The following is an 18947-nucleotide window of genomic DNA, read 5'->3' on the forward strand; positions in this document are numbered from 1 at the left end:
GCATTTTTTATAGCAGAAAAAAATTAGAAGCCACCTAAATGTTCATTAATGGAGAGCTTATAGACCTCCGTCCAGTTGTATGAGATGAATCTGTATATGGTAACACAGAAAGAGATTCATGATATGTTACACTTTTTAAAAAGCAAGCTGTTCCTTTATTATGTCTGATTATGTTCGTGTGTGAGTAGAAAATATCAGGGAGGACATGCACAATTCTCTGTAAAATGACGAGTTTTGAGGATTGCAGTTGGGAGGTGATGGGAGGACATGGATGAGGGAGTATCATGTTTCCAAATTGCTTACCTTATGTTTTATAATAAGCATGTATTTAAATTTATATTAAAAGAAAAATATAATATCTACTAAATTTGTAAATTAAGAATTATATTAATAAATGAACTATAGCAAATTTTTCTGGTTTGTTTTCTATTTAGGTATGGAAATTTGAATATTAATTTATAGATGGCAAAGGGAGTGCTTTTTTACATTACAGACTGTGCATAAGTAAATGATTTCACTCTTAAGATTTGAAACATCTTTCAAACTCATAACCTGAATGAATGAAAAATGTATTATATATATTGAGCATATTAAAATATTTTTATGGTCTGGGCGCGGTGGCTCACGCCTGTAATCCCAGCACTTTGGGAGGCCGAGGTGGCTGGATCACAAGGTCAGGAGATCGAGACGATCCTGGCCAACATGGTGAAACCCCGTCTCTACTAAAAATACAAAAATTAGCCAGGCGTGGTGGCACATGCCTGTAATCCCAGCTACTTGGGAGGCTGAGGCAGGAGAATCACTTGAACCAGGGAGTCGGAGGTTGCGGTGAGCCGAGATCGTGCCATTGCACTCCGGTCTGGTGACAGAGTGAGACTCCATCTCAAAAAAAAAAGAAAAAAAAAGTATTTTTATTACTGAGAGAGAAAGAAAAGATTTATTAGTCATCAAATCCACATCATATTAAAAATTTATGTTATTAGCATATTTTATTTAAAATTATGTTGGGTTCAAACCAGGCACAGTGGCTCACACCTGTAATCCCAGCACTTTGGGAGGCCAAGATGGGAGGATAACTTGAGGCCAGGAGCTTAAGACTAGCTGGGCCACATAGCATGACCCTGTCTCTATAAAAATTTTAAAAATTAGCCTGGTGTAGTGGCATGCACCTGTAATCACAAGGCTGAAGTGGGAGGATCCCTTGGCCCAGGTGTTCGAGACTAAGGCAAGCTGTGATCACTCCACTGCACTCTGGCCTGGGTGACAGAGCGAGACCCTGTCTTTTAAGTTAAAAAAAAGTTGGTCCAGAAATATGAATTTAATTAAACTGGATTAAACAAAAATCTTTATATTATACCAAAGGCATTTTGAATCTATGAAAAGAGACAGTAAAAAAATTTTCTAAAAAGCAATAGATAGCAAGGTTTTTCAATATTTATATCTCAAAATATTTGTTTTAAGTCTTTTTATGGAGGTTATCTTGTAATAAATATATCTGTAGTTTTTCTTTTAATTTTATAATATTTTAAGTATACATTTATGAAAATTATAGATTAAAATACGAATTATATGTGTATAAGTTTATTTTACATTATGGAATCCAATTTTATCACAGGTTTCGTCTTGATATATATCGATGTTTGGCCAGTCCAGCTCTAATAATGTTAACAGAGGAGGATCCAATTCTGAGAGCATTTGAACTTAGTGCTGATTTAAAAGAACTAAGTCTTGTGGAGGTGGAATTCAGGTGGGAATGAATGCAAATTATATAATGTATTTTGTTTTAAATCTTCAACCTCAGTTTCTTCATTACCCAAATTATAATTTGTATATATTTACATTTGATCCAAGAACACTACACCTTGTTGCCACTTACTTGGCAACAGACCCCTGCTCTCCCTCAAAGGAACAGACCCTGGTGCTACTTAAGTCATTCCTTCCCCATCTGCCCTCTGCCACCCTATAAACACCTTTAATCTCTTCCCCACTTTTCAACCTAACCAAAGGCATTGTAGAGCAGTATGAAATACAGTAGGATTATAGCCTAAAGCAGGAGCAAATTTATTCATAGTTGCTCTCTCTCTCACACATATCTCCTCATTCTCTGACTCTATAATCATCCTTGAGTAATGATCCTTCAGATCTTTCAAAAGCATATGGAATGCTTTCTGTATGTCAAGGACATTCCACACACAGACATAGTCCCTTTTCACTATTTGCTCAGATTTTCTGGTAAGAGAAATAATATATGTAATACATGTAAACATAAAAATAAAATACAACTAATTAAGAGGGATGAACACCCAGTCTGAGTTCTCTTCTGAAATGAAGATTAAATGTAATTTTGGCACTTGGCATACCAAAGAAGCACTCCTATTATTTTCCTTTAGGGGGGTAAGTTGAAAAAAAAAAAGACTTTGTAATAGCAGCCTATGAAACTACTAATTTAAATATTGTTTTTAAAAAAATCCTTAGAAAACTACTTTTATTAATAGTAGAGTTGAGAGAAAGCGTTGAGATTTTCCTTTATGGAAAAGTATCCCTGTTGCCCTCTAAAGAAGGAGGAATTGATTACGATTTTTTACTAGCCCCTGTTGCAAGGTTTCTACTGGGGATCTATAACTATTCCTACCTTTTCTTTCCTATACGGCTGCTATTAGAGCCCCATGTCTTGTGTGACACTCTTTCAGTGACTTGACAAAATTGGGAAAGTTCAAATTTCTACTTCCTGGAAGGGCAGTAAGAAACTTGGAGTTTTCTTTAGCTTTAACAGCAGTACTTAATGTGTTCTTCATAGACCTGAGTTCCAGAAACTGAAAAAAGACCTGTTTATATTTTCAAGTTTGGAACTACTGTCTTGTAACTTGGATAATTTAAATTTTGTTTAAACTTGATATGACATGAAGTATGTACTTTACTTTGATGAACACACAAAACATGGTTCAAATGTAACTTGTTGCTACTTTTAACTTTATTAGCACATGAGGCTGTTAAATTATTCTGTTTAAATATGAAAAACTTCCTATTGTAACCTCATAATTTGAGTCTGAGTTATATAAAATAAAACTTACTCAACTCCTTTCAAACAGGATTTGAAGAAACTGCTATGATTATATAATCATAAAATAATAAAGTTAGATTTGGAAGCGATCATAGAAACCCATTTACTTCAATCCAGTGTTTTATAGACAGGGGAGGAGATTTATAAAGGCTAGATTTTTACTAATAGCAGCATCTAATTAGGAATAGAGTTAAAACTAAAAGTAGGAGCAAAGTTATAACTAGAATATATGACTCCTTGCTTCTGGTTTTCTATATTTCCATCTAAACTATACAGCCACTTATTTGTCTTCAGTAATCTATTAGAAATGAATTAGATTAATAAGATGTATAAATTTCACCTTTGAATCTCGTAGTCCATCAAATGTTTATCCAAAGATGGAATATTTTTGTAATAATATATACTTCTGATAAACATTCCAGTCTGCAGTTAGATTCCTAAATCAAGAAGCAGGGAGTGCCGCATTTGTTAAATAAATCCAATTACTTATTTTCAGGAGTTTTGACTACATAGAATGTATAAAGAATGATGAGAGAAATTAAGGCAAAGAAGTTTTTATTCTTAAGTTATGATTTTTATATAGCCAGTTCCTGGAAAGCCCCATTATATAGAAAGACTAACCAGTGGGAAATCTTCCTGTTTCCCCTTCCTTTCAGTTTGGGAAAAAACTGAATAAAAACATTATTTTCTGAAGCCCAACCTCAAGACTATGACTCATAATTATTTATTTCTGACTTCATTCTTAAGTTATGATTAAGCTTAGACATAAAGTTAATGTAATTGATTTTTTTTTTTTTTTTTTTTTGGAGACCCAGGCTGGAGGGCAGTGGCACCATTTTGGCTCACTGCAACCTCCCCTCCTGGGTTCAAGCAATTCTCCCTGCCTCAGCCTCCTGAGTAGCTGGGATTACAGGCACCTGCCACCATGCCTGACTAATTTTTGTATTTTTTAGTAGAGACAGGGTTTTGCCATGTTGGCCAGGCTGGTCTTGAACTCCTGACCTCAGGTGATCACCCGCCTTGGCCTCCCAAAGTGCTGGCATTACAGGCCTGAGCCACCGCACCCAGCCGTAATTGATATTTTTTAAAAGAATTATATACTAAAACTTCTTCATTTCTCACAAATTAGTTTAGGCCTGCCTTTAATAAGCAGTTCAAACCCAAGATTCAAGGAATAGGGATTCTGAAAGAGAGGTTTTTGTTAGGCGCATTTTAATATCTTTCTTTCTAATTTGAATTTCACTCAAATGAGCACTTTAAATATGAATCAAAATGCTATTTTAATATTAGAAGTAACATAAACATATTGTAGATGACTATTGAAAAAGCTCTAGTTAAAAATTTTATGATAATGATTGGATAGCATTAAGATATTATGTCTATTGTTAAGGTGAGTAATATAAAAGGAAGTTTTAGCCAAGCTTACAGAGAATAAGGGAAAATGAGTTAAGCGAAGAACTGGTTGACAAATATTATTAGAATTTTTAGGAATAACATCAGTATATATAAATGAACACTGTGCTCATCTAAGATTATTAGTATGAACACAGGGAACATAATTGTGTTATGGTTTTCCCCAAAGCTGTGGAAAATTCGTGCATCACTAGTTTCCTTTGATTATCCACAGAAAATGACTTCAGATTTTGTGTAACACTGTCAGAATTAAAATGTTGCTGAGTAAAAACGTTTTTAGTGAATATAGCTTAATTAGAAGATGGAAACGACGTTTCTGATAATAGAATGCTGCATTTTATAGGAATGATTATGAGGAACTAGCCCGGCAATGTAAAATGTTTGCTAAGGATTTACTTGCACAAGCCCGGAATTCTCGTGAATTGGAAGTTATTCTAAACCATACGTCTAGTGACGAGCCTCTTGACAAACGGGGATTATTAGAAGAAAGAATGAATTTAAGTCGTCTAAAACTTGCTATCAAATATAACCAGAAAGAGGTATGAGGCTTTCTGTAATATATTTAAATTATTTTCTCTACAGTAGTCTAGTGGCTCAGGGCAAAGGCTTTGGAGTAACTCATCTGGGTTAAGATCCTAGTTCTGCTTCCTAAAAATTGTGTGTCTTGGGATAGTTATTGAATCTGTTTGAGCTTTTGTTTTAATAATTAATTAAGAATATATACTAAAAGGGTTTAGCACAGTAAGTATTAGCATTAAGCAAGTATGCAATAAATGGTAGTTTTTATTATTTTTAGTAATATTGATTATAATTATAACATGGATGTTGATTTAATGTTTTTGCTAAATAGTTGCTACACAGGTAAGATCCTTTGTAGTAGGTACAAACTTTATAGTGAAGTTTCCATCTTGTGTTTTGTCTGTCACAGGTTGGTTTTCATTGATCTGGTTATAAATAGCCCCTTCTATAGTAATAGTGATTTCTATTTAAAAATAAAGTATCAGATACTATATTTCCTGATTCCTCTTATTTATAATTCATTGTGAAACTCAAAAGTGGAGAGGTACATGATATGATAACTAAGTTGAATCTGACTTTTCTGGCATCATCCCTTTCTATTAAGAGATATGCCCATTTCTACTCCCCATGCATACATATACATATGATCCAGGAACTTGAATCAGGAAAATATGCATTTTAAATTTCATTTTTGAGATAATTAACTAAACAGTGATATTCATATGTAGATAATAATAATATCTAATTGATAGTATGGGATGTTGATAAATGGTATTTATTAGGTATTACTTCTAAGACTATTTTCATTGTTAACATAGATGTTTAAATAAAACTTGCTTATCAAATTTATATTATTACAAAAATAGGGCCTGAAATATATAATGATAGAAGGCCAGATACAGGACCTTTGGTGCTAAGGGCAGAATTTTTTCTTACCTTGGTTAAAAATTTGAGCCTCACAAAGTTATTAGGAAATTGATGGAGGAATTGATGGAGGATGTTTATTGGTTAATATATTTGCTTCTGTGTTCCACAACCTAAAAGGGACATGAAGTCCTAGAAAATGATAGAATAAGGGGATTACATGGTATAAAATCAATTAAAGTGATTTAAAAAAAGAACCTCAAAGAAAGGCGTAAAGAACTAAAATTATCCTGTTTAGGAAAAAAAATCTTAAGAGGTAATTTTCTAATGATAGCTATATCCCTGAAGGACTCACAGAGTGGAGTCCAAATGGAACCAAATGTACCATTCTAAAGAAGATGAAAGAAAAGACAAGAAGTAGTAGTAATATTTGTTAGTTGAAAGGAAGATATTTTGCGATTTTAAAGATGAATGAAAATGTAAAGTAGTTTTTAAAACTAGATTTCTAAATACGATCAGTGGGGAAGATATTTTCTCAAATAGTTGGTAAGCTTTGTTTAGGTTATCAATCTTGAATAGCAAACTACTCTGAAACTTAGTGGCATAAAACACTTCATAGTTATTTTATAATAATTTCATAATCATTTTATTATGCTCTTGGATTCTTAGGTCAGGAATTAGGAAAGGGCATGGCAATCATGATTTTTCTCTGCTTCTCCGTGTCTGGGAACTCATCTGGAGATAAATGACAGGGCTATAATCAGCTGGGGGCTTCTCCACTCACATGTCTGGTGTCTGAGCAGCAGCTGAGGCCTCAGGAACAGGGTGCTCAGATGGGTGAGTCCACAGAAGGTGGGGCTCCTGAGAACTCACAACAGGAACCAAGGAGAGGCATGGCCATCACAATGGGCAGACTTTGAGGATGTGGTCTGAGAAGCCTCTGCGGGCTGGCTGGGGTACATACATGTGACCTCTGTGTGCAGCCTGGGCTTCCTCACAGCATGGTGGCTTCAGAGTGGCTTTTTACATGGTAGTTCATGGCTCCAAGAGCAGGTGTTCCAGTGAGCAAGGTGGAAGATGCGTAGCCTTTTAGGACCTACCTTCAGAAGTCACATAGCATCACCTCTGTTAGAATCTACTAGTTAAATCAATCACAAGCCTGTTGAATTGAAGAGTAGGAAATTTTGACTTCCTCCTTCCCCACCTCTTGATGATGGGAAGAAAGCGTGTCCATCTTTCACTGCAGACTTAGAACATTTCTAGTTAAACTTTTTATTCCAAATACATAGTTAACATTACTGCAAATTAAATTGTCATTGTATAGAGGGATAGCAAGGACAGTAATCAGTCCTGAGATTGCTTTGATATTTGGAGGAAAGGTGACACTACTAAATTTGAGATTTACTAAACCTGGTCATTGGTGAGAGGAAAAGCTGTTTCTCTCCCAGGCATTTCACCTTGAGGGACAAATTAAGATTTCCCAAGAACATTGGAATCTGAGCAGAAGAGTAAAGAATGAAGTATTGCCAAAAATAAGTATTTGCATATAACATACACACATCTTCCCATATACTTTAAAGTATCTTTCAATTACTTATAACACCTAATACAGTGCCTACACATCATTTCATTCATGTGGATTCAACATAGTACTTGCTGTGAAGAATATTCAAGTTTTGCTTATTTGGAACTTTGTGAATTTTTTCTTCCAAATATTGTTGATCCATGGTTGGTTTAATCCACAGATGTAGGACACAGAGATACAGAGGGCCAACTCTACAGTATACTAGAAATTTTCTTGAAAGCACAATAAACAACAAAACTCTGTCCAATTCTTTTTTTCACTACAGTGTTAATTCTACAAATTATATTCTGTTTTGGGATAAATCATTTTAAAACAGAAGGTTGACCAAATATTATTGTGGATTACCTGAATAATGTCATTTTATAATAATTTCAAACCTGATCACATGAGTATATATAGAATTATCAGGACCCTTAAGTTATACTTCACAACATGAGCATTATATTGGAAAAATATTGCCTATGAAATTTGTCAACTAAGAAGATTTGTAAACTTTGGTAAATTAGTTTCTGTACCTGAACTAAAATTTTTCTCATATTTGGGAATATTTTTCCTTTCTTCTCACATGAAATTCAGTTTTAATCAGGCTTAAGAGTGTCTTTAATACCTTTTAAGAAATCCGCAGTGCTTTCTTGGAGCAAGAATAGGTCTAATATTTAGCTTTTTATTGTTTTTGCTATCTTGACTTCTTGGCTTCTGGTAACTAAAATCAATAGTTTCTCTAGACTGAAGATGTCCAACATTAGTTAGTGGTATCTTTTTCTATGGATTGTGCATGATAACTTTGAAATTTCATAAATATTATTATGAGTTTTTATATATTAAACATGAAAAAATGGCTAAGTAAGCTAATAATAATAGTTAATACTTATAGAGTGCATGCTATGAACCAGGCGCTATTCTGAGGGCTTTACCTTTAATCTTCACAACTTTATTAGTAGATACTATTATTATTCCCATTTTACAGATGGGGAAGTTGAGGCTTAGAGAAATTTAAAAACTTGTTAAAGGTCATTTACCAAGTAGCAGAGCCCAGATTTGAATCTAGGTAATCTGGCTCCATAGTCTATCCTCTTAACCTCTACATGCTTTTATTGTTAGAAAAAGGGAAAAAACAAAACTATGTTGAATGTATAGAATTGATTTTTAAACTCTTATTCAGTAAACTTTGAATATCAACCAATCAGTATTTAAAGGTTTCCTTTTACTTTTTTTCTTTTTAATGTGTGTGTATGTCCTTTTCAGTTTGTCTCCCAGTCTAACTGCCAGCAGTTCCTGAACACTGTTTGGTTTGGACAGATGTCGGGTTACCGACGCAAGCCCACCTGTAAGAAGATAATGACTGTTTTGACAGTAGGCATCTTTTGGCCAGTTTTGTCACTTTGTTATTTGATAGCTCCCAAATCTCAGTTTGGCAGAATCATTCACACACCTTTTATGAAATTTATCATTCATGGAGCATCATATTTCACATTTCTGCTGTTGCTTAATCTATACTCTCTTGTCTACAATGAGGATAAGAAAAACACAATGGGGCCAGCCCTTGAAAGAATAGACTATCTTCTTATTCTGTGGATTATTGGTAAGTATCAAGTTAGTTTGAAAGGTTTTGTCTTTATTTAGCCCACTGATTCTTTCTTGATTGATGGCATTGTGAATATTGGGTTCAATTTGCAATTTTACACTGTTCACACCACAAGAATTTGAACACTTCCATGATCACTGAAGACTTAACTAACATGTCTGTAAAGATAAATGTTCCTGAACTTGATGATAAGGAAGCATCTCTCTTATTTAATATTTCTTAAATACATGGAATTTTAAAATTATTTATTCTCAGACTCTATGGTTATTCATGATTGTAAAACAGAAAATCAGCTTTAACACATGAATGCTTTTTTGGTGTAAGAATATGAAGTTTTCTTAGGTATTTTGAAACAATCTATTTTATACTGTTGTGCATTTTTAAAGTTAACTATTCTATTTCATTTATAACATTAGTTTTCCTTTTAAGAACCTATGAGCTTTTTGGTTTTTGTTTTGTTTTGTTTTGTTTTGTTTGAGACAGAGTCTCGCTCTGTCGCCCAGGCTGGAGTGCAATGGCACAGTCTTGGCTTACTGCAACCTCCGCCTCCCGGGTTCAAACGATTCTCCTGCCTTAGCCTCCCAGTAGCTGGGATTACAGGTGCGTGCCACCACACCTGGCTAATTTTTGTATTTTTAGTAGAGATGGGGTTTCACTTCATTGGCCAGGCTGGTCTCGAACTCCTGACTTCGTAATCCTCCTGCCTCAGCCTCCCAAAGTGCTGGGATTATAGGCCTGAGCCACCGTGCCCGGCCTAGAACCTATGAACTTTTGCAGATATATCTTGCTTTATCTCTATTTTGGAAACATTGTTTAAATTTAGATTTAAAGGAGTCCCTGGTGACTCATTCCATAAATCATTTCTTTGTAGAGATAGCCAGATCTCTTTAGAAATGATAGTTTTTTAAAAAGTATAAGACATTTTATTCCTGAAAATTATTTTTATAAGTATTACACTGTATAATAAATGTCTTAAATCATCTTCTACAATTTTTACTCGTCTTGCCTTCTGTGTGTCGGGGTGCGTGTGGAGAGTTGAGGTAGAATCACATTATCTGTTTATGGTATTTTAAAGATATTTTCTTTATTTCCCTCTGTATCTTCTACCTTGTTTTTAACCTCAGCACTTCCCATCTGTCCGTCTACTATTTGCTATAGAGTAAAAGGGTAATAAAATTTAGTCTTATCTATGGCACAAAGTACTGAGTGTATTTATCTTTTGATTACTACATTCCTGATTGTTTCAATTATTTAGTACTTTCATAAGTTATTTCACAATGTTCAATTTTAGCTCTTTAGCTATACAAATACTTTTTATATTTTAGAATGTTTATTTGAAAATCAGTTAATTTCAGGTAACTAGATTGTAATTAGAGTTTTGCTTTTAACAGTATTTAATCTATGATGCATTAATGTTTAAAATTAGGTAGATAAAATAATACACATCTAAACTCTAGGTTAAAGAGAATTAAATAATTCCTTCTTGTTAATATTTTTATTTCCTGTAGTTTTGCTCTTATCTAAAATTTAATCTTTTAATTTAGGAAATAATTTAAACTTTACCATATATGGTTTTATATTGGACTGTGGGACTCTTTCAATGTGAAATATGTTTGTATTGCTAGTTGAGTAGTTAAAAAATTCCTGGAAGAATTTTACACATTAGTTTGAAGAGAATCGCTAAGGAGCACTTTCCCTATATTCATTTAAACTATTTCTGATTGTTATATATTCCTTAGTCTTAAACAGATGAAATTTTATAACATTTATCTATAACCTATTGTTTAGTAGTAAGAAAGAATATTTTCTGTGTTTTGTTAGATTTAGTTTACCCCAGTCTGTATAAGAATCAAATTAAAGTTTATATGTCTTAGCAATGAGTAAAAACTCACCGAACTAAAATAGTCATACCACTCTTTGAATAGCATAAATATTACTGCTGTCCCCGATTTTCATAATAATGGTAAAACTATAGCTCTTCCCTTTTATATGATGCTGTTTTCAATGATATTACACGTATATATACATGGGTACCCCCTTACACACATAATATGATTAATTTTCTAACCATATTCTACCTCACTAGAAGAATGCATGTGCATTAAGCCAGTAAAATTCCTGGAAGTATCTTCCTTTCCTCAGCACAGCTTCTGCTTTGAAACAGTTTGATCTGAATAAGCCTTGCCAAGGAAGTCTTCTTAAGCCTTTTATGTAATTAGGTCACTCTGGGCTTTTTTTCAGTATATAGATCCAAACCGGCTCTAAGTGAGCATGGAGGAATATTTTGCTTGCTTGCCTAAATAAAGTCATTGCTTGGTTCAACTTACTATTTCAAGCAATGAACACAGTGACTTTTTAACTCATCATGACCAATTTTTGTATATTTGTTTTGTTTGCTTTCATTAGCTTTTCAGAAAAAAGTAAGGTTAGGTTATAAAAAGCAAGGTAGGTAAAAAGAGAATAATTTGTTGAGGAATGCACAGAATATTAATGGTATCCTTTTACTTAATTTTTGCTATTAAACATAATAGAATGGCTATTATAGAAATGTATTTTTTAAATGTCATGTACCTACTTTGTCTAAGCACAGGCAAAAGCAGATATGGCCCATACACTCGTGAAGCTTATGATCTAATAAAAGCCAAATAAAACCATCAAAAACTTGACTTGAGAATCATATGGAAAAATGAAAACTCAAAAATGGATTAAGTGCTATTGGTTAAAGATCATAGTGTTAGGAGAGTAAGCATATTATAGGGGCATTTGCCCTAGTCAGGGAGGTTGGGAAAGACACGTTGAGGAAGTAATAAGTGAGCTAAGATCTAAAAGATAAATAGATGTCAACTGAGAGAACTGGGAGAGGAAGCTACTCTAGGCTGAGATAAAAGCACATTCAGAAGCTCAGTGGCAAGAGAGAGAATGGTACAAAGAAGGGTCTGAGTAAAGGCTAACATTTCTGGAGCAGGGAGAACCAGGAGAGCTTGATTCAAGATGAAGCTACAGAAACATATTGTACCAGACCATGCATGGCCTTGTAGGTCAGGTTAAGTAATTTTGACTTTATATTAAGAACAAGGGGAAACCATTGCCTACCTGAAGTAGGCAAGTGACATGATCAGTTTTGCCTTTCGAAAAGATCATTCTATCTACAGGGTGGAGGATGAGCTGGGAGGATAGTGCTGTGGCAGGAGTAGATGGAGGGAGACCAATATCGATGCTGTTGCACTAATCCAGATGAGAGCTGATGGCACCTTGGACTTAGGGTGATTGTGATAGAGAAAGAGAGAAGGGAACAGACTTCAGAGATATTTATAATGTAAGGCCAGTAGGACATCGAAATACATAGTATATGAGAGGTGAAGGAAAGGGAGATTATTAAGCAATATTGGTCTTTTGGAAGAGTACTAGGCTTGGGGATTTGTGTGTTGAGGGGTAGATCCTGAGTACAGTTTCGGATATGTTGAGTTTGAAAAGCCTTTGAGATATTTTTTAAATATCCCTTTTAGGGATGTCAAGCAGACAGTTGGTCTGGAGCTTGAGTTAGAAAGGTATGCATATCTGAAAATAGGTGGTATATGAAACTATAGGCATAGGTGAGACACAAGGAGAAAGATAAATTGAGAAAAAGAGAGGACCTAAGATCAAGCCCTTGAGAAATCCCAAGATGGCTGGGATTGCTGCCTTCTAATGTTATTATTAACATTAATTCTAAAAAAAATAGACCCTAAAATATAGAATGTTGGTTATGTAGTGTTTGTATTGCTTGGATTAGTTTCAACTTACTATGTTCTTTGTGATCCAGCTTGGAAACATGCAATACATCAAGTGTATTAGCTTCATTTTTGTGGGGGTATTGCAGAGGAGCTGGGAAACTAACCAATTGGTCTTCACTGTACTTTCATGTCTGTCTTTTTTGATCAACAGTTTTCTCCAATTCATGTTGTAAGTTTTTGTTAAGAGTTTCTTTTAGGTAAAATATTGCATTTCACAGAAATAAACACATTTCTGTAAACATCTTTCTTAGTTTGATGTTTTAAATATTAACAGGAGTGTATCTAAAGTTTAAATATAAGGGTTTTTGTTTGAAGATGTTTCATAAATAAGGATTCGCACACATCAGGATCTAGAATTAGACAATAATTTTGAGTCTTCAAGAAAGTATGGTCATGGAGGATTTGTTTAATATGTTTCTGCTCCACAGCTCTGAGTGGTAGGTGAAGGTTGAACATGAGAAATATCAGAAAGCTTTCATCCCTACTCCTTCCCCAAATAAAACAGTATTTGAGTTAATAAAATGTTACCTGCTAGACTATTTCATTTTACATTTTTAGACAGTTTTCATCTATTCATTTTGAGTAAAAACATACTAAGGTGGAATTGTTAAAAATGTTTTTCCTGTCAAATCTGCAAATGTTTTAAACACTTTTTTTCTGTATAAAATATGGGTACTGCATAATTAAGATGTTTTGAACAGAGATCTTCAAGAATGTTTCTTGTGTTTCCCAGGGGAATTATTTTGCCTACTGATAAGCCAGAGAATGATTCTGATTGGCCTAATTTGATCTCCACCCATGTGTGATGCTACAGCACTCTATTCTTTTGTTACTCTGTAGTCTCCCCGAAAATGACTTAATGAAGGAATGTACCATAAAATGATCCTGAATTATGTTACTGAAGTCTGGTACCCATAAAAATATATAGTTATAGAGGAGCTTCTGGCCAAAAAACGGAAAGTTTTTCTGTTTGTTTGCTTTGGTTTTTATTTTTGTATATTTATTCATTTGGCAATATTTTTTAGCACCTTGTTTGTATCAGGTACTTTTCAGGACATTTGGAAACATCGGTAAATAAAACAAAGATTCTTACCCTTGAAGAGCTTACCCAAAGTGGGGGAAAGATAATCAATTAATAATAGACCTAATAAGTAAATTATATTCAGTGTTAGAAAAGAGATAAGTAATACAAAAGAAAGGTAAAAGCAGAGTTAGGAGAATTGGGAGTGGGGGACAATTTTAAAGTTGCAAAGAGTTTGCAATTTTAAATAGGGTAGTCAGGAAGGGTGATGAGCAAAGACATGAAAAAGTGAGGTAGTTAGTCAAATGGATCTCTGGGTGAGGAGGGTCCAGCCAGAAGGAAGAGCCAGTATAAAGGCCCTAAAGGCAGGAGTCATGTGTTCAAAGAACAGCAAGGAAGCAAGGAGGCCAGCGCGACTAGAATAGTACAAGGAAAGATTAGTAGGAGATGAGGTCAGAGAGGATAGGTAATTTGGAGACTTGCAGGCCATTGTAAAGACTGGTTTTGATTCTGAGTAAAATGGGATTTAAGGGAGGGTGCAGTGCCCACTATGCACAATGAGCAGCAGTGGTTTTGCATTTTTTTGACATTTGCACTCACAGAACAAAACAGGCTGAAACCTGGTACTAGGTTTACTTAAATTTGTAGAAGTAAAAGATTTGAACTTAAATATATAAACTTGAGAGCCTTTGCCATGTAGATGATATTTAAAGCCATTAGATTGGGTGAGATCATTAAAGTAGTAAGTATAGGTAGAGAAAAGAAAAGGATCAGGGACTGAGCCCCTTGTGCGGGGGTGTGTACGTGTGTGCGTGCACATCCATGTGTGTATCCGTGTGTGTCTCCGTGTATGTTTGTATCCCTGTGTATGCATCCATGTGCATGCATCCGTGTGTGTGTGTTTGTGCCCATGTGTGTTTGGCATTAATTTATTTGGTTTCTTACGTTTGTTCCACATCCAAAGATGAAACTTAAGGTTATTTTCTTCAAGTCGTATGAAAGTTAAGGTTATTTTCTTTCAGATTTTAAGAACTTTTCACTAAAATGTTTTTGGTTTTGTTTTTTTTTCTTTTGAATAAGGCCCAAGGATTATTTATTTAATATTTTGAGTCTTAAAGTATTATTTAGTTTATTTATTGAATTAAGAAAGTGTTATCTGATTTTTTTCTTCCTTTTCTCAGGGATGATTTGGTCAGACATTAAAAGACTCTGGTATGAAGGGTTGGAAGACTTTTTAGAAGAATCTCGTAATCAACTCAGTTTTGTCATGAATTCTCTTTATTTGGCAACCTTTGCCCTCAAAGTGGTTGCTCACAACAAGGTGACTATTTACTATGTCAATTGAAGGCACAAATTAAGTTTATTTTGGAAATAGCTAAGATATTTAGCTATGTAACTCAGAGTTACATTGAGCCAGATCAGTGTCTGGTGTGTTTTCATTTTAAGCCTATCTGTGTGCACATAGTTTCCTATTTTTCCAGTAGTTTACAGGTGTTACTTACCTTTACATGATGGTTATTTATTATATAACAGGGACCATAGTTCACATTTGGTATACTTTATCTCTTTTTATCTACACTGGGATTCTTTGAGACTGAAGTCCTTATTTCCTTATTCCCATTTTGCAAGTAAGAAAAATGAAGCCTAAAAATATTAAACAACTTGTCCGAAACCACACAATAGGAAACCAAGACTGGATTTAAATCCTGCCCTGTCTAGGCATTTTCTTTCTACTAGATGCCAATTCCTTATATCTGACCTAGGTTCTTTTAGCTTATTAACCTGTATATACTTAAAATGAGAACAAAGTAACTTAAAATGATTAGTGTTAGATATCTTTATATCTGCCAGAAAAAGAGTTTCCATTCCATTCCATTTCATAATGAATGAAATTGGTTATGTAATATTTTACACATTTCAAATCATGATTAACAGCTTTAAAAGTGATGTAAATGTTATTATTTTTCTAATAACTATATATTTTTATTTAGAATTTGACAAAAATCTACCCTTATAGATAACTTACAATTTTACTTTCATCAGAATTTAAGCTCCCCCAAGCCCAGAAAGGGTAACAAATTGTGTGTTAACTATCTTTGTTTAAACCCTGAGTTTAGAATTCTTCTGGGGTGTCACATTCAAGGAACTAAAATATATAATATTCTCTGTTTTTTATTAGTTCTTAGATTATTGAAAAGGCAAGCTCATTATTTTACATAATTTTACTTTATTAAAAAATTCTGTTTAATTGATCAGTAGTATGGAATATGTTAGGTACGTTCAGTGTCTAGAGTGTGAAATTACTAAGAAAATGAAAATTGGTCATATATAGATAAATGGTTTGATAAAGGGATTGAGAGACATTGCTTTTTCAGATTGATCTCTTTCGTTCTATAAGTGGAGTACCCATATAATTTTTTATCCAAATCAGGACATTTTGAGAGTGAAAGGGGGCACTATTAATAATTATGCCAGGACAACTGGTACAGCATCTTAAACTATCCCAGGCAATGGGGACAATTGACCACTGTGTCTAGGTACAATAATGCCCTCTTTTTTATTTTGTATTTAAAAGGGGGGAAAAAAACTCTGAATTCCAAGTCAAAGCAGTAGGTTAATGTAATATGATAGGGAATTAATTGACAGCACATGTACTTAACGTTTGTGTTGTGGAATTTAAGAAAACTAGCCAACATTTCATTAATAAAAAGCTTAATGATCATTTAAAAAATTATTTAATTTTCTAAAATTTAAGAGTTTCTGGAAAAACCTCTTCATATAGAGTGATAATGCCTCACATACATAATAATATTTTATTTCATTAAAATATTATTTCTATTTTTAAAAAACCCTATAAAACATAAGTGGAGATCCCCTATAAGAAGACAAAATTAAAATGGCTTTCTTTCAACAGTCAGAATATTTGCTTTTATTTTCCTAAATTGAGAGAGCTTATTTACCTTTGGCTTTTTCTTCCTAACCTTAGTTTCATGATTTTGCTGATCGGAAGGATTGGGATGCATTCCATCCTACACTGGTGGCAGAAGGGCTTTTTGCATTTGCAAATGTTCTAAGTTATCTTCGTCTCTTTTTTATGTATACAACCAGCTCTATCTTGGGTCCATTACAGGTAAATAATTAAAATTTCTTAAAGAACATTTTTTAGATGTCATTATTGTTACATCTTTCTCCTTGTCCAGTGGAATACTGTTCTCTCATGATATTAAAGCTAAACTTTGCTCTTGAGAATAAGTAGCAATTAGAAGGACACAGCATGTTTATCTACTTTGCTTCTGGCTCAGTGATAATCCTTTGCTTTCAGGTATTCCAAGTTAATTATGCTGTGGTCCATTAGCCTCCTCCCCCCACTTCATAGACATAGATATGTTTAAAATATAATTACACTTCAGACAGTAGAGTAACATAAAAATCTGCTTTTTATCAAAATGAATCTCACATTTAAAGTTTTAAATATTTTAGGTTATAAGTATAAAGGAGGACCTGTGCAAACAAAAATAATCATATTTGATGATTTTTGAATAAGCTGGATTTAAAAGAATACTTACACTTTCGTTTAATAAATATTAAATGTAATAAGTTGGAAAGTAGCATACTTAGAGCTAAAAAATTTACAGAGGCTATGTAGTTCAGCTTTATATTTTATAATACTTTATAGTTAAAGAAATTGAGCTTTTGAGATGGGATTTGATTTGTCCAAAGTAGTATGATTATTATGTATGAGAGTTCAAGACTAAATTCTCAGTCTCTTTGCACCAAAGAAAAGACTCATAATTGGTTGCATTTACCCCACAGAATTTAGTAACTGGTTTTCAGAAGGTGGGGTCAACTCTGCTAGCTCTATGTAATACTATAGCTTATTATTTCTGAAAATCTGAACAATATTCATTTTTCCTTAAGTCAAAATTTACTAACAATTTAGATTGTCTCATATTTTTAAAGGTGATATTTTAAATAAAAGGCATAATTACCTTCTCCAAACAGGGATATGAAAATAAAATATATAGGAAAAACCTGATTTGATTAGGCTTGTGCTGTCATCCAGCAACAGTGTTTCCTGAAGTGTGGCTCTCTTAACCAAGTCCTGTGAGATGCTCTGAATTAAGTAAGTTTGGGACACACTGTATACTGTATACCTCTTGGGAATTGACAGTGCATGTTATCACATTAAAGCCTCTGAGAAAAAAATTTGTTTAACCTTGTTCAAATCATCATTACCTAAAGTCATTTAACCTCATACCTGTTTTTCATGAAATATGTGCAAGTCTCTGTATTTTTCCAAAACACAGTAAGCCATAGAAACACTGGCTTAAACTATCTGTCCTTTTGATTTATTTTTGCCACTAATATCATCTACGAATGCTTTAATCAAGAGTCTACAGTGTTTTTACATGCACATTGATTTTTTTTTAACTGAAAATGGACGACAGAACTAGGTTTCTATACTGGAAATTTCTTTATGGACTCCTATAAAGGGTTAAAAAGGAGAAAGTATAATATTTTTTAGGAATGAAGAGTCAATTTCTGACTTCTGTTTCCAGCCAACATGGAGTAATAAGGATTGGATTTACCCTTCTATCTAAAGCAATCAAAAAGGAAAAAAGAACAAAATATATGAAACAACAGCTTATAAGAAACTAGATATCAGGCAGTAAACAACAGTGATCTCTAAGAAACAAGAAACAAAGATCACTCCAGCTTACTGCTTTGTGAGAATTTTTAGGCTATTGTGCAGAGTGGGTCAGTGCAGTCAGAGCCTGGCAGAATTCTGGATTTAGCAGCACAGAAAGAAAATTCTGGAGATCTGCAGTTGTCTCCCTTGAGTATTCAGCAGAGTACTGATTAGCATATGCATGTGAGGACACTACCTCGGGCAGGGAAAGAACCATCTCATCCGACGGGATTAGAAGAATACTCAGAAGGGTCTTGCCTCAATAGTTATCTCAAGCCTACACACTGCTCTAGTTTCAACGAACAAATATTAAAAGCAAGATGTGAAAGGATTAAATTTTTTCCAAGTAACTTAAATGTGTTCATTAAAACCTATCCAAAAGCAACACAGATGTTAGAGTTATCAGATAAGGACTCTTCAGCAGTTATTATTATTG

At 33.8% G+C, this 18947-nt stretch overlaps 1 protein-coding gene across 24 annotated transcripts in view; it reads left to right on the forward strand.

Moving 5' to 3' along the window:
• TRPC1 (transient receptor potential cation channel subfamily C member 1) overlaps window positions 1–18947 on the forward strand; it is an 83855-nt gene that overhangs the window by 51983 nt on the left and 12925 nt on the right. For 10 of the 24 annotated variants that reach the window (NM_001251845.2, NM_003304.5, NM_001413375.1 and 7 more), the window contains 5 exons: window positions 1616–1747; window positions 4818–5013; window positions 8688–9024; window positions 15003–15142; window positions 16808–16951. The exons of 2 other annotated variants lie outside the window; for them this stretch is intronic. In NM_001251845.2, coding sequence (NP_001238774.1) covers window positions 1616–1747; window positions 4818–5013; window positions 8688–9024; window positions 15003–15142; window positions 16808–16951 — 949 coding nt within the window. Of the gene's footprint in view, window positions 1–1615; window positions 1748–4817; window positions 5014–8687; window positions 9025–15002; window positions 15143–16807; window positions 16952–17823; window positions 17945–18947 lie in introns of all 24 variants that reach the window. 12 more of the 24 variants (NM_001413363.1, NM_001413378.1, NM_001413379.1 and 9 more) reach the window with 8 other exon arrangements.

This window comes from Homo sapiens, chromosome 3 (genome assembly GCF_000001405.40).
Source record: "Homo sapiens chromosome 3, GRCh38.p14 Primary Assembly".
Classification (NCBI taxonomy): domain Eukaryota; kingdom Metazoa; phylum Chordata; class Mammalia; order Primates; family Hominidae; genus Homo; species Homo sapiens.